The sequence below is a fragment of the Homo sapiens genome, chromosome 5 (genome assembly GCF_000001405.40).
Source record: "Homo sapiens chromosome 5, GRCh38.p14 Primary Assembly".
Lineage (NCBI taxonomy): Eukaryota > Metazoa > Chordata > Mammalia > Primates > Hominidae > Homo > Homo sapiens.
In genome coordinates this window covers 53,559,895-53,576,946 of record NC_000005.10, presented here as the reverse complement: position 1 = coordinate 53,576,946, position 17,052 = coordinate 53,559,895, and the positions used below count along the sequence as shown (strand labels likewise).

The 17,052-nt window shown below is 38.3% G+C and overlaps 1 protein-coding gene across 5 annotated transcripts in view, besides 1 other annotated feature; it reads right to left on the bottom strand.

The window, feature by feature from the left end:
- NDUFS4 (NADH:ubiquinone oxidoreductase subunit S4) overlaps positions 1-16,308 on the bottom strand; it is a 122,700-nt gene extending 106,392 nt beyond the window's left edge. For 4 of the 5 annotated variants that reach the window (NR_134473.2, NR_134474.2, NM_002495.4 and 1 more), the window contains exon 1: positions 16,187-16,308. Coding sequence is in view for 2 of the 5 variants with exons in the window: in NM_002495.4 (NP_002486.1) it covers positions 16,187-16,284 (98 nt within the window). In the remaining 3 variants the exon portion in view is untranslated. Of the gene's footprint in view, positions 1-3,215; positions 3,340-16,186 lie in introns of all 5 variants that reach the window. The other variant, NR_134475.2, reaches the window with a different exon arrangement.
- Positions 15,907-16,406: an enhancer, noted in NCBI's record as "active region_22547". NCBI's record gives its function as "activates an Ori minimal core promoter by ATAC-STARR-seq in GM12878 lymphoblastoid cells {active_cell/tissue: GM12878}" and the evidence as "EXISTENCE:reporter gene assay evidence [ECO:0000049][PMID:35858748]".

Sequence of the window (17,052 nt, the reverse complement as noted above, 5' to 3'; positions counted from 1 at the left end):
CAGATGTTCCAAGAGCATACATCCTACTCAAGTCTGTAGAAATGCAGCCTTTGAAGCTAGAAAAGAAATACAAATATTTGTTGAATGGGTGAACAAACATTAGCAAAGTCTCAGAATTCATTAGGAAAAAAGATAGTTTAACCCATAAAACATACACAAACTTTGTTTCCCGAAGATAACACTACACAAAATATTCCTGTTCTAAATTTTTGACTAGGAGGTCCCAGCTTTTATTACATCTCACTCTCAAGGTTCCTATGATCTATATTCATACGATACAGCAGTATAAGAAGAATTACAAACATTGAGTATTTTTTGTAAACCCTTAGTGTGTTTAATCTGACTCAAATCAAGTATTTCTCCAGGATTTTTAAACTTGGTATCAGAGAAAGGGATTTTCAGTCCCTCCCTGGTAATAAAGCTATGGAGATATAAACCTGAAGAAATTTCTATCAGTTATAGTATCTACCACATGGGAAAAAAACAATCTGAAATAGTAGCTGTCATTCAGAGACAGACAGAGACAAACTAGAAAAAGAACCTGGTGGCTTTCTAGCTTAGGTCCCTGAGACTAGCTAGGTGCACCCTTACCCTTTCCATTGCTTGGTAATGTAAACCAATTCTCTCTTCTTGCCTAAGCCAGCCATCTGAGATTTTAGGTTTCTGTAACTTGTGAGAAAGGTTTAACACAAGAACTTGAACACGAGTATAAACAAAACACTGTATAAGACCTAATACTATCTATGGAAGGGCTACAAAGCCTGGGATCCATTAATCCCCCACTCTGATTTTATACATATGACTGTATCTATTTCTAGAGAAAAGTCACCAAAACTTCCATCATTTACTCTAAATAGATCTCTGACCTCTACACCCTCTCAAAGAAGATTTATTGTTTGATGGTCTAAACCAGTGATTCAATGTATTTTCCTGCCTCTGCATCACTTACATGGGCAACATCTTTAAATAAAAGTCATGATTTTCAACCACAAGTACATGTATTGTGAAACCCTTTCTTTATGCCATTTCCAAGATTATGGTATGTGAATTCCTCCCTTTCTCCCACCACAGTTGAGAATCAACTGGTTAAGAATCTGATCATTTAGGCCAGGTGTGGTAGCTAACACCTGTAATCCCAGCACTTTGGGAGACAGAGGCAGGCAGATCACTTCAGGCCAGGAGTTTGAAACCAGCCTGGCCATCATGGTGAAACCCCCATCTCTACAAAAATACAAAAATTAGCCAGACATGGTGGTGCACACCTGCAATTCCAGCTACTCGGGAGGCTGAGGCACATGAATCGATTTAACCCGGGAGGCAGAGGTTGCAGTGAGCCGAGATCATGCCACTGCACTCCAGCCTAGGCGACAGAGCAAGACTCTGTCTGCAAAAAAAAAAAAAAAAAAAAAAAAAAAAGAATCTGATCATATAAAGAATATTTTGAGTCATTTTAGATCCTTTAAATCCATTCAGATGTGCTAAGATGCAAGAAATGTTAGCGTTTAGCTTTAAAAATAATCCATCCTAGGATGGGCTTGTCCTGAGTAAGATGTAGCAAGCACACTGTACCCTGTATCTCCCACTGAATGCAACCATGAAATCTGGAAAGGATGCATGGAGCAGCTGTTTGAAGGCTCTGAAAAGGAAATAGCAGGCAGATCAGGGAAGATCATCAGAACTCAAAGGACCACTGAACTAGCAGTGAGTCTGAAATAGCTTTTCCCTTGAATGTCCCCAGCCTGAACTTAAATGCGGCTGGAAACATGAAATGAGCAATTCTCCAGAAGCACTCGGCCTCAAGGAGCAAGAAAAGAAACAAGTGCTCAGAGAAATGATAGAAAATCCCCATTTTCTTCTCTTTTCTCTCATACACCATGAATCAGCCATAGGCAATCCTATAGCCACATGCGGTGGCAACAATGGAAATGTGCGGGAGCCAAAAATCTGAAGGAGGGTTCTTCTTCTAAGTCCGCTGGAGCTGTGGTTCTGAAAAGGTGGGGCCAACACCCATTGCTTTTCTGTTTTTTTCTCTCTCTGTCCTCTAGTCCCTTAGTCCCTGATTTAGGTGCAACTACAGTGCAACTTAATGATAGCCACAATTTTCTGGATGGACATTGATAAAGGAAACCCCAGGGAATTGGGTTCTCCGAATATAATATAAACAAAAAATAAATAACAAAAAAAAGAAAGCATCCAAATACATGGAAATTAAACAAAACACCTCTAAATAATTTACAGATCAAAAAGGAAGTCTCAAGGGAAATAAAATATTTTGAACCAAATGAAAATACAACATATCTTAATTTGTAGCATGAAACTAAAGCAATTCAAAAGAAAAGATGATGAAAAATTTCCCAGCTCATTTTATGAGTCCAGCATTACCCTGATACCAAATCTAAACACAGTACCAAAATAAAAAAGAAACAAACTACAGATCAGTATTCTTCATAAACACAGATGTAAAAATCTTCAACAAAGTATTAGGAAACCAAATATGCCAGTATACGAAAAGAATTCAACACCACAACTAAGTGGGGTTTATTGAGAATGCAAGCTGATTCAATATTTGAAAATCAATCTACCACATTAACAGTCTAAAGAAGAAAAACAAGACTACACCAATTGATGCATAAAAGGCATTAGACACATCCATTCTTGATGAAAACTGTTAGCAAAGCAGAAGCAGAAGGGAACCTCCTCAATCTAATAAAGGGTATTTCTACAAAAAACCTTTAGCTAACATTATACGTAAAGGTGAAAAACTGAATGCTTTCCCTTAAGATTGGTAAATGAAAAGAATGTCTGCTGTTACCATTCTTAACATCCTCCTGGAAATGAAAAAGAAATAAAAGACCTAGTGATTGGAAAGGAAGAAACAAAATTTCCCTATTCACGGACTGCATGATTATTTTCTTAGAAAGCCCAAAGAATCTACAAAAAACTTATATAACTTTATGTAACAAATAAATGTGGCAAGGTCACAGGATACAAAGTCAACCACAAAAATCAATCACACTTCTATATACAGCAATATACAATTTCAAAATAAAATTTAGGCTGGATGCAATAACTCATGTCTATAATCCTAGCATTCTGGGAGGCCGAGGAAGGAGGATCACCTGAGGTCAGGAGTTTGAGACAAGCATGGGCAATATAGCAACCTGTCTCTACAAAAAAATAAAATAAGAAAATTAGTCAAGCTTAGTGGTACATGCCTATAGTCGCAGCTGCCTGGGAGGCTGAGGTGGGAGGACTGCTTAAGCCCAGGAGCTCAGGGATGTAGTGAGCTATGATTGCACCACTGCACTCCAGCCTGGATGACAGAGCAAGGCCCTGTCTCTAAAAAATAAAAAATAAAGAAAAGAAAATTTTAAAAGCAATGCTCTTTACCACAGCTCCCCCAAATTGAGATAGTTAGGCATAAATCTAACGAAACATATACAGGATCTGCACGCTCAAAACTACAACACTGATTAGATAAATAAATAAAGAGACATACCATGTTTATGGATTGAAAGATTCAACACAGCAGAAATGTCAACTTTTCCCAAATTAATCTATAGATTTAATGCAATACAATCAAAACCCTAGCAGGATTTCATAGTTATAAAAGAGCTGATTCTAAATGATGGAAGGGAACTAAAATAGCTACAATTTTCAAAAAGAAGGATGGGCCAGGTGCAGTGGCTCACACCTGTAATCCCAGTACTTTGGGGAGCCTAGGCAGGAGGACTGCTTGAACCCAGGAGTTCAAGACCAGCCTGGGCAACACAGGGAGACACCCATGTCTACAAAAAAAATATAAAAATTAGCGAGGCATGGTGGTATGCACCTGTAGTCTTGGCTACTCAGGAGGCTGAGGTGGGAAAGAATCGCTAGAGTCCGGGAAGTCAAGGCTGCAGTAAGCCATTATCATACCACTACCCTATAGCCTGAGTAACAGAGCAAGACCTGGTCTCTTAAAAAAAAAAAAAAACAAAAAAAAAAAACAAAAAACAACAAAGGCCAGGCACGGTAGCTCACGCCTCTAATCCCAGCACTTTGGGAGGCCAAGGCAGGTGGATCACGAGGTCGGGAGTTCGAGACCAGCCTGGCCAACATGGTGAAACCCCGTCTCTACTAAAGATACAAAAACTTAGCCAGGCATGGTGGCACATGCCTGTAATCCCAGCTACTTGGGAGGCTGAGGCAGGAGAATCCACTTGAACCCAGGAGGCAGAGGTTGCAGTAAGCCAAGATTGCGCCACTGCACTCCAGCCTGGGCAACAGGGCGAGACTCCGCCAAAAAAAAAAAAAACTTCAAGAAGACAATACAGAAAAAAATCTTCACAGCCTGGGGTTAGGCAAAGAGCTCAACAACGAAAGCACAATCATTAAAAGGAAAAATACTAGTAAACTAACTTCATCAAAATTTAAAACTTTTACTTTGTGAAAGATAATGTTAAAGAATGAAAAAGAAAAACTACAGATTAGAAGAAAATATTTGAAAATTACACATCTGATTGGTAGAGTTCAGGACATGCTACCCCAAAATGTGCCACCTTGTAATACTGAAAAACGGCCGAAGTAGGAAGGTACCTTTGACCTTCTTCCCCCATCCCTTCTTCTCTGAAGTAGGTTATAAAATCTAGGATTATCTAACCTTCCCTATAAAACTCTCATGTGAGAGGTGTCTTCCCTATATCAGAAAGAAAGGAACATTGTTATCTCTGAAGACAAATGGTCAGTCAGAGACGAATCAGAACAAACTGGCTTTGCTGTTTCCCCCAGCTTATTACCATATACCAAATCCCCTTTGTTCTATCATATTTCTCCCTATCTACTCTTCACCAAACCTAAGCATAAAAATATACAAGTTTAACTGTTTCTTTGGATATTTATCTCCTTATGAAAGCTCCCATGTTACACAAATTTATATTAAATACATGTGTATGCTTTTCTCTTCTTCATCTGTCTTTAGTTGTAGGGGGCTCAACCATGAACCTAGAGAGATATATTTTTTCCCATACATGACAAAGAATTTGTATCCAGAATATTTTAGGAACTATAAAAGCTGAACAATAAGAAAATAACATGATTAAAAATGGGCAAAAGACATAAACAGATACTTCACCAAAGTTCAACATCATTTGCCATTAGAGAAATGCATATTAAAACCACAATGAGTTAGCCATCATAGAAGTACAAGTCAAAACCAGAATGAGGTACCACCTTATACTCACTAGGATAGTTATAACTTCAAAAAGATAGATAATAACAAAGTTGGAGAGGATACAAAGACACTGGAACCCTCATTCACTGCTGGTGGGAATGTAAAATAGTGCAGCCACTTTGGAAAACAGTCTGACAGTTACTCAAAAGGCTAAATATAGAGTTATTACATTATCCTGCAATTCTACTCCGAGGTATATACCCAAAACAATAAAAACATATGTTGACATAAAATATTGTATCTGAATGTCCACAGAACACTATTCATGTAGCCAAAAGGTAGAAACAATCCAGATGTCCCTCAAAAATAAAATGTGGTTTGTCCATACAATAGAATACTATTCTTCAATAAAAAGGAATAAAGTACTGGTACATGCTACAACTTGGATAAACCTTGAAAACATTATGCTAACTGAAACAAGCCTGTCACAAAAGACCATATATTATATGACTGCATTTGTATAAAATGTCCAGAATAGGCAAATCTGTAGAAACAAAAAGAAGGTTAGTCGTTATCTAGGACTGGGGGAGAAGCGACTGCTAATGGGTACAGAGTTTGAGTGATGGAAATGTTCTAAAATTGTGGTTTTGGTTGTACAATTCTGGGAATATATGAAAACCAGTCAAATTGTATACTTTATATGAGTAAATTTTATAATATATAAATTATAGCTAAATAAAGCCATTCCAAAATAAAAATCCGTAATGAAATACCATTAAACACCTACTAGAATGGCTAAAATAAAAAACACAGCCGGGCGCCGTGGCTCATGCCTGTAATTCCAGCGCTTTGGGAGGCCGAGGCAGGCAGATCACCTAAGGTCAGGAGTTCGAGACTAGCCTGACCAACATGGTGAAACTCCGTCTCTACTAAAAATACAAAAATTAGCCGGGCATGGTGGCATGCACCTGTAATACCAGCTACTCAGGAGGCTGAGGCAGGACAATCACTTGAACCTGGGAGGCGGAGCTTGCAGTGAGCCAAGATCGTGCCACTGCACTCCAGCCTGGGTGACAGAGCAAGACTCTGTCTCAAAAAAAAAAAAAAAAAGAAAAAAAAATACAATACAAATGTTAACAAGGATGCAAAACAACTAAAACTTTCATATGGTGCTGGTGAAAAGCAAAATGGTACAACCACTCTGGAAAACGGTCTGAGAGTTTCTTATAAAATTAAACATACACTTAGCTATGACCCAGGAATCTTCTACCCAGGTATTTACTCTAGAGAAACAAAATCATAATTCACATAAAATCCTGTACAGAAGCTCTATTTACACTGCCAAAAACCTGAAATAATTCATATGTCCTTCAATAGGTAAATGGATAAACTGTGGTACCTCCACATAACGGAATACTACTTAGCAGTAAAAAGGAACAAACTGTCGATACATGAAACTTATATGAAGTTCAAAGGCACCAGGCTGAATAAAAAAAGACAATCTCAAAAGGTTATATATGACTACATTTATATTACAGTCTCAAAACTGTAAAACTATAAAGATGAAAAAAGATAACTGTGGACAGGGATTACAGCGGTCAGGGAAGGATAACATGAGGGAGTCTTGGGGTAATGAAGTCTTTTGGTATTCTGCACCCTGAAACAATACAGTAAAACAGTTATCTGCATATTACACTGTATTCTGTACTAGGATTATGGTGGTGGTTACACATAACCCATACATGTGTTAAAACTCTAAGAAGTATACACCAAAAGGAAAACAGTTAATTTTTCTTTATAATTTTAAAAATAATATAAAATAAATCCAACCTAGAGTCAACTTTTTTCCTTAATTCAATCTCAGCTCATGAAACTATCATCTCTGATAATCTCATTTAAATAAAAGTACAGTACATAGTTCAAAGATCAACACTGACAAAATGGAAAACATCCTAAGGGGTACCAAGAGGTAGTAAAGCGTCAGGAAATTTGATCATTAATAAAGAGTAAACAAACTGGACGTGCTAAGCCTGGAGCACAGACTTGAAGGAAGAATGAGTGATGACAAATGTCTTCAATTATCTGAAGGGCTGACAAGTGTATACGGGGTTAAACTTGTTCTATACAGTTTCAAAGAAAAACATCACTTACCAGTAAGTCTAAACGTATAGTGTGTTTTCTGGGGTTATCAGAAAGTCACCAAACTTCCTCAACAACTAGATAATCAAGAAGCAGGAAGTTCTAGGGATTCTTGCATTAAATAAAGGGTTGGACTTAATGATTCTAGAGTTTTCTTCCAACTTAAATATTACATAAATCTATGAACTATAACTCCAGAGTTAACCTACAAAGATAGAAGACACTGAACATCTAAAAAGGTAACCTTGCCTGCCAAAATATCACTTTTTATTGCACAAAAGTAAATATTACAAAGCACTTTCACATTTTTTAAAAGGTTGAATACAAAATCTGAACAAAAAGCCATATTATGAAATGTATTTTATTCCCCAAATCTCATTTGTACTACGAATATTAAAATTAAATTCAAATTACACATGTCTAAGTCTAATCTTATTAGACTTAAAAGGCAAAAGTCATAAATTTCATGCAAATTCCTGTAAGTATATTGAAGAGATCACTTGAAAAAGAAGTACTCTTTCCATACAAAGAGTGGTAGTCCTCAAAAGAGCCAAAACATCTGTATTCACTTTAAAGCTCATCAAGACAGACTGACATTTTTAGGAGAAGCATATGGCTTGCTGAACAGTCATCTAGAACAGAATCTTTTGTCCAGTAAGCCCTATTCAAGGACCATTTACTTATGTGTGAAGTGGCTGAATAAAGGAAAAAACATATTTTTGAGTCCTAGAAAACACAAAGAAATAAACTCTTCATATAGCTTTGTTTAAGAATACAGAAAATATATTGCAAAAGCAGCCAGATTTTACTCCCAGAGACAGTTCTCTCAACATTTGAAACGATTCAAACACAAAAGAGTAGAGAAGCATGAAACTTTCTTAGAGAACTACATCCAGTGAAAGACCACCTTCCTAAAAAAGCCTTTTCCATTTTAAAGGATAAAACACTTTCTTAAAATTTTGAAGGGCAGAGTTCAACAGCTGTGCTATATTAAACCTGAGCCCTTCCAAAAGGAAGAATAAGAGTCTCTAGAGAGAGAGTAATATGGCCTGCTTTCTCCAAAATTATCAAAATGCCTTTTTTCCCTCTAAGGAAACTTTCCCCAAGAAAATACCTCTTATGTGCATGGGTGAAAAGCATAAAACTTAATTTAGAATAGAAAAATATGCAAAAATGGAAGAATTTTTGTTTCTGGAAATCTCCCTGAACTCTCTCCCAAGGAAAAATATATTTCCTAAGTCTTACAAGATATAATATGGAAACTTTTTTTTTAATCCGTTTTCAGCCCTAGCTTCCCATTAGAATCACCATAGAGCTAAGCCTCAACCTAAACTTACTGAACCAATATAGACTGGGGGGCAAGGCATCTGAATTTTTTAGGCACCCAACAGATAATTTTGATGCACAAGGGTTTAAAAACCAGTGAACTGGAGAATGAGCCCATAAAAGAAAAATTAAGTCTAGTGAGTACAGACAAGAAGAAAAGGTTACCTTTGAGCAACTAACTAGTTCTAAAGAACCTAAAGTCATATTTACCTACCAAAATACTTAGTAACAGACAACAAAATAGAACTTGAAACAAGAATTCTGAATTGCTCTGTTATTAAAAGAAAAAATTTATAATAGTTTATTAAATTATTCATATGTTTAGATGAAAGTTGTTATGAAGAATGTGGTCACTGCATAATTCAGGTTCAAAAAGGTTCCATCAGGATCTATGGACTTCTACAAGCTAGAAAAGAAAAGTCACAAGAGCTCATATATTAAATATAATTATTCGTTAACCTTAAAAGAGCTCAAGTCTTTAATCATAAAAAGTAAACTTCTGCCATCATCAGAATTTCATTTAGCATACTTTGTTTTATACAAAATTCTAATAGGTTTAGTTGCTTGACATTCAAATCCATAATAAATGAAAAAGGGGTGCTAAAACTGCTAAAGGGAAGCAGACCAGTCAAGGAAGAATATAACACTATTAAAAAGCAGACACGAGAACTCAGAAAGCATAGCAGACACTGAATCGTTTTTAAAGACAACACAATACAACCGTTTTTCCTAATCACTGGAATCAGTAAGAAAACAGAAAAAAAAAATGTCCAGTATATCTTGTTATATATATTTTTTAAGAGCGTAAAAAAGTATAATAAGTCACCTATGAAAAGTCCCTTACCAAAAATAATTACAAAATTTAGGGGAAAAAATCATTAGCTTAAAAAAGTAAACAACTAATTGTGCATTTGGTAACTCTCACTGTACAAATGGAACCATGCAGCAACAGTAAAGATAAGAGCATTCCATGGTCTCTCAAATAAAGAAGACACTTGGCTAAAAGGCAGAAAAAACAGAGAGGACATTAGGGTTTGAACTGATTATTACCAGACATAATATTCCTCACTGCAAAAGTGAACATATTCATTTAGACTGCTATATCAGACTACAGTCAACCCTCTGCATCTGTGGGTTCCACATCATAATTCAACCAACCTCAGATTTAAAATATTAAGGGGTGCTGGGCTCAGTGGCTCACGCCTGTAATTCCAGCACTTTGGGAGGTCGAGGCAGGTGGATCACGAGGTCAGGAGTTTGAGACCAGCCTGACCAACATGGTGAAACCCCGTCTCTAATTAAAATACAAAGAAATTATCCAGGCGTGGTGGTGCGCGCCTGTAATCCCAGCTACTCGGGAGGCTGAGGCAGGAGAATTGCTTGAACCTGGGAGGCAGAGTTCACAGTGAGCCGAGATCACGCCACTGCATTTCAGCCTGGGCAACAAAGCAAGACTCCACCTCAAAAAAAAAAAAAAAAATACTTGGCGGTGGGGGAGGAAAAACTGCATCTGTACTTATCATGTACAGTCTTTTTTCTTTTCATTATTTCCTAAAGAATACAGGATAACAGTTATTTACAGAGAATTTACATTGTATTAGGTATCATAAGTAATCCAGAGATGATTTAAAGTATATAGGAGGATGTACAGAAGTTATATGGAAATACTACACCATCTTAAATCAAGGACTTGAGCATCCGTGGATTTTGGTGTCCTTGAGGAGTCCTGGAACCAATCTTTCATGGATACCAAGAGACAATTACATTTCCTGGCAATGTAAACTTCAGTAATTTCACTTCTGTACCTGTTTCCTCATCTGAAAAATGAGGATAACAACACCTGAGTTGATAGGATTACTGTGGGAAACACATGAGATAATACAGGTGAAATCCTTGGCACAGTAGCTGATACAGAGTAAATTAAAAACAAATGCTACTTGGAATTAATTTTGCTTGGAATAAACGATTCTCAACTTCTACCAAGGGACATGTTTTAGAAGCTCTTCCATTTGAAATTGTTTGTATTCAGTACAGACAATATGTATTCTGACTAAATTCTATGTATACCTCACCCCAAACAGATCTCTTCTAGCAAGTATTATACAGGAACCAAGTTGCTCCATCTTTCTCCCTTAAGTTCCGTGTATTATTAACTTTTTTTTGGAGTCTTGCCCTGTCACCCAGGCTAGAGTGCAGTGGTGCGATCTCGGCTCACTGCAACCTCCGCCTCCCAGGTTCAAGCGATTCTCCTGCCTCGGCCTCCCGAGTAGCTGGGATTACAGGCACCCGCCACCGCACCCGGCTAATTATTGTATTTTTTAGTGGAGACGGGGTTTCACCATGTTGGCCAGGCTGGTCTCGAACTCCTGACCTCATGATCCACCCGCCTTGGCCTCCCAAAATGCTGGGATTACAGGCGTGAGCCACCGCACCCGGCCGTATTACTGACTTTTTAAAACTTCGCATAGTTACTCTTACTCCAAAAAAGTTCTCATGTTCCAAGGGTACCCTTTCCCAAACATTCATTTCCTCTTGCATTTTTAAATTTGAATACAAAAGAAGTGTCTGAACACTTGTCAAAGTGTATGAATACAAAATCTATTCATAAGACAACTTCAATCCAAAAGTTAACAGAGTTCTAGGTGAATATCCTACACTCAGACCACTGCAAATAATTAGAATATGTGTTGTAGATAGTTTATCTTCATATTTATAAAGGTTAGTGCCTACCTGGCTATCACTGATGAGGGTATTAAAAGAAACACTGCGTAATGCTCCCTGCTTTTCCTCACAATCGCTCATCTCTAAATATGTATTTATTCATCTGTAAGATAAGCATTTACCTGCTACATGCAAGCCATTACACTAGATGCCATGAAGTACACACAAATAAACAAAAATGTGGTTGTGTCCTCAAAAAGCTTGCGACCTCACTGCTGATATATCGGTCCATGTGCTAAAACCTGCTCACTTGCAAATATGAGTGTATATAAAATAGAGTCAGCATAGGTTGTTATGCTGAGGTAACCAATCCAAACACCTTTGTGGCTTACAGCAAAGGTTTATTTTTCACTCAATTTATATTTTATAAAATCTTGCAATAAGAATCAGTTTCTGCTTTGCACTATGTAGTCTACAATCCAAGATGTGGGCTAAAACAGCAGACCCCACCTGGAGTACACCTACCTCACATCAGAGGGAAAAGGAATATGACAAAACACAGGAGAGCTCTCAAAGCTCCTGTTTGACATGGTATATCATTTCCACTAACATTTCACTGGATAAAGCAAGTCATTTGGCCAGTGGTTTTTGGATATGTAATCCTGTTGCAGACAGTGGTAGTGAATACTTTAAACAATAACACAATCTATCACAATACTTACAACCAAGATTAAAGAAATGAAAAACATTCAGGCCATTCAAACCAATAATAAAATTACCATTTATCTAGGGAAGGCTTACTATATGCCGACATTACATATTAAAATATTTAATTTTCCGGCTGGATACGGTGGCTCATGCCTGTAATCCTAACACTTTGGGAGGCCAAGGCACACGGATCACTTGGGGTCAGGTGTTCAAGACCAGTGTGAAACCCCGTCTGTACTGAAAATACAAAAATTAGCTGGGCGTGGTGGCAAGCACACCTACAGTCCCAGCTGCCTGTGAAGACTAAGGCAGGAGGATCACCTGAGCCCAGAGGGTGGAGGTTGCATGAGCCAAGATTGCGCCACTGCACTCCAGCCTGAGCAACAGAATGAGACTCTGTCTCAAAATATAATAATTATTTTCCTAACAAAAATTCAACGAAGATGTCTGCTACTGATGAAAACTAAGTATGGGCATTTGGAAAGAGGAAAAGAAACAAAACAAATAAACCTATCAGAAAACATATTAGAAATCTTTCAAGCTCTCAAACTTTGGCTTGGATGTGTTACAAAGATAGCAAAAATAGCTGCCCCTAGGAGAGGAATTTATTTAGTTTATCTGAAGTAGAAGTGAACCTATTGGTCTTAAGTGTCCTAAATTTGAGCTTAGCCTATTTCCCAGCAAGGTGTTAACAAACAGAATTCTTGTCAACCTTAAGGACTGCTTACTATTTGGAGGGTTCAAATTCAATTCCCCATCGAATTGAAGACTCAATTTCATGCTAGCTTATATAATGCTGAAGAACCAAACACAGCAACAGAATAAAGCCACAGATCAGGGCATAAAAGAGACCTCACAAACAGGTCCCAAACACTCAGTCCCCACCAGTCATTAATTAAAACCCTCTGGGTGATTTAACACCCTAAGGACTTGTTTGAGGAAAACACAAGACCTAGTAAATACTAAGGTGAGATAAGTATACATGAACACACTTAAATAAGTGAATAAAAACATCACTGCATCAAATATCTTAAGTATAGCTATTTTGAAATAGAGTGCCATTTCATCTGGCTGATAAATGCATTTAGAATAGTTAAATTTACCCTGGAAAATCTCTTAGGAAAGTCAGGGAAAGTAAGGATAAATGTAGACAACTTAGGGATGGGCGCGGTGGCTCCCGCCTGTCATCCCAGCACTTTGGGAGGCCGGGGCGGGTGGATCACCTGTGGGTAGGAGTTTGAGACCAGCCTGGCTAACACGGTGAAACTCCATCTCTACTAAAAATAAAAAAATTAGCTGGGCGAGGTGGTGGGCACCTGTAATCCCAGCTACTCTGGAGGCTGGGGCGGGAGAATCGCTTGAACCCGGGAGGCAGAGGTTGCAGTGAACTGAGATTGTGCCACTGCACTCTAGAATGGGTGACAAGAGCGAAACTACATCTCCAAAAAAAAAAAAAATGTAGACAATTTAACCCCTTTTTTTGCCTCCTCACATTCGGTACAGGGAAATGAGAAGCACATGGAAACTGAGACCAACACTACAGCACAAGCTCAGTAAGTAACTAGATCAGCTCAATCACCCACATTACTAGATTTTTTCTCTCTTGTGTGTATGTGTTGTTGCATTCTTTGTTTTGCTTTTCACTGATGATATACTATAATTGAATTAATATGTTAATGTAGCAGCTAACAGCATCCTTCCTTTTCTTTTTTTTTTTTTTTTTTGTTTTTTTGAGACACAGTCTGGCTCTGTTGCCCAGGCTGGAGTGCAGTGGCGCGATCTTGACTCACTGCAAGCTCTGCCTCCCGGGTTCACGCCATCCTCCTGCCTCAGCCTCCTGAGTAGCTGGGACTACAGGCGCACGCTGCCACGCCTGGCTAATTTTTTGTATTTTTAGTAGAGACGGGGTTTCACCGTGTTGGCCAGGATGGTCTCGATCTCCTGACCTTGTGATCTGCCCGCCTCGGCCTCCCAAAGTGCTGGGATTACAGGTGTGAGCCACCGCGCCCGGCCCTTCCTTTCCTTCAGTTCCCTACTCCACTCCTTACCTTACTGATTCCACTTCCCATATTCTATTCAAATGATCTGAAATGTTACATGATTTGCAAATGTTTTTCTAAGCATTACAATAAAATGAATTTTAGATGTAGATTTTCCCATTAATTGGTTCTTTCTACTCACCTTTTTCAGATCCTCATTACTATCAAATCATAATGGAAAAAGAATGCTTAAGGATGAAGAACAAACAATATGTAAGGGAGAGGGTCTATAAATTTCCCTCAAATTAGGATGAACATGACAAGCTCTTAGGGTAAAAATGTGGCACAGAAAACAAATAAATGTGTTAATTTGTATTTAAAAAACGTCTTCCCTGGCATTAAGATTTTTTTTCAAGATTAAATGATTTATTTTCAAATCTCTTACATTTGCAGGCAAAAACTCTTAAGTTTGGATATGTAGTAACAATTATCATCAGAGTTTCAAAAATCTAATCTCAACTTCAATTACTATAATTGCTGACAAAATGGCTTTGACTTAAAATTACAGCCATGTTTTGATTAGCCATAAACCAGTGGTCCCTTCAAACTTGTTTTCAGTTCTGGGGCTACCATGAGTACATTATTATCTGGGAATGACAATTAATCCCTATAATCTGTACGGGAGGAAGGGCTAATCTTGGTCACCGCTATATTAACTCTAAGTTAACCAGTGAAGTATTTTACCTTAGAAAAATACTTAACCCAGCCTGACCAACATGGTGAAACCCCGCCTCTACTAAAAATACAAAAATTAGCCAGGTGTGGTGGTGCGCGCCTGTAATCCCAGCTAGTCAGGAGGCTGCGGCAGGAGAACTGCTTGAACCCGGGAGGCGGAGGTTGCAGTGAACCAAGATCACGCCATTGCACTACAGCCTGGGCGTCAGAGTGAGAATGTATCTCAAAAAAAAAAAGAGAAAGAAAAAGGAAAAATACTTTCCATATATGGAACACTTAATTACAAACATCATTTGCCTTTCCCCAATCTTAGCACCCTTACTTTTGAGTGACTCTATTCTATGTATTTAGTAATCGTTTAACTAATGCTTTCAAGCCTTTTCATAAGCCACGGACCCTACGGGACACTCTCTTCTTTCCCACCCAACACCCACTATATTTAAACCTTAATAAAACTCATCCTTAAAAATTCTTCCGAATTAACTCATCCTAATTCTCTGCATTCCATTTATATTTAACACTAAATCAATTAGCATTCTACTAGACCTTCCTTTCAACTTTTAACCACTTGCATCCACCTCCTACCCCCTTCAAATCTCTCCATCCAGTCTTTCCAATCTTTGTTCTAATATGTGTGTGTATGTACGTATAGCATTAGTACTATAATTTAAAAAACTCCAGGAAATTCTGAAAAATAGAAAATGGAAGGTTAATACAGCCAAAAAAAAAAAAATCATCACAAAAATGCTTCAAGGAAAAACAGTAACAACTCAATCAACTGACAACTGAATCTGACAATACTTTGGAAAAGTACTACTTTAGGTTCTCAAGGACGCAAAGAGCCCTCAACAACTCAATTCAATCCCTGAATTATTGTGAGGCTTTAACAAAATCCCTAGAAAACCTCCAGGCATTACCACCAGCCTTTTAAAAATTACCTTCCAATATTACTAGCAGTGATATTTTTACTAACACTGAATTCCAAACAAGTTTTCCTCCCAAGCAGACTGATGAATAAACAATCTTCCTATGCAGAAACCAAATTAAAACCACTTAAAACCATGGAAGGGATACAGTGATTTAACCCTTCTGTAAGGACTGGAGTGGTGGGCAAACAGGTGACAAATGGAAGGGATGCAGAAAGTGGAAACAGAAATCAGTGAGACTCCTCCCCTTCTCTGAGGGCTAAGGTTCAGCTTGCAGCTCCGGAGGCAAAACCTCCACGGACCCTCTCCCTCAGCGACAAGCCGAATACGAAAGCTTCCAGAAAACCACAGGTCCTCCTCCCCGGCCTCGCACTCACGCCCTCACTCGCCTGGCCAACGCCCATTGATAGCAGACAGTCCCTAGTCCGCCCGACTTCTCCCGAGAAAAGGGTCAACAGAGGACGCCTTCCCCGAGGCCTCCTCCGGAACTCAGCCAGCAGAGACTCCGCAAAAATGGAGGGACCCAAGAAGCTTGAAGAAAAGTGTGAAAATTCTATTACCTGGTCGGAACCCTGGAAACGGAAAGGGCAGCTACAGCCACTGCCCTTCTCCGCCACAACGTCTGCCTCAGTACCACTGACATTGACACCGCCGCCATCTTGCTGCAGGCAAACGCCAGGATGAAAGGACGGATCACCGCAAGGGACTAACTTCCTTCGTTCTCAAGCCAGTGCAATCGCAATGTTGCGAAATTCTTTGGGATTTTATTTTCTTTTTAATACTGGGGCTTAAAAAAAGAGGGGAAACGCTTAGTTTAAATAAGTAAGAAGAAAAATGTGCGGGAAGAAATGCAGAAGTGCATTAACTGTAAATATTACCACCATAAAGTGTAATCTTTACTGCTTGTTAGGACTGGTGTTTTACAATGATAACGAAAAGACCAAAATATACTTGCATATTTAAACACCTGCAACTCGTAATTTATTGAAGAAATTAGGATATTTGGGGCTGAACCCACTGGAAAAGCTGGAGAGCTCTTTGGGTCCTTGAGAACCTGCAGTAGTACTTTTCCAAAGTATTGCCAGATTCACTTTGCAAGCCCTCAGGACAGGGCTGTATTCAGTTTGATATTCTGTAGTAGTAATGTTCGTATTTTCCAAACGAAAAATCTGGATACGTGATCTGGCAAAGGATTATTTTTTGACATGTAGATTTATATGAAGAATCAATAGAACATAATATTTGATGTCACTGTTTCCCCAGTAAATCCTGAATGTGTGTGTGTTCATAATCCATAGACATGAAGAATGATATTAATGCTCCATGCATATAAAACAAAAATTATCTTCCAATACAAGTGTTGGAAACATGTTTGTATTGTGGACTTCCGACCTTAAAGAATAATGACTAACTGAATTATATAAAA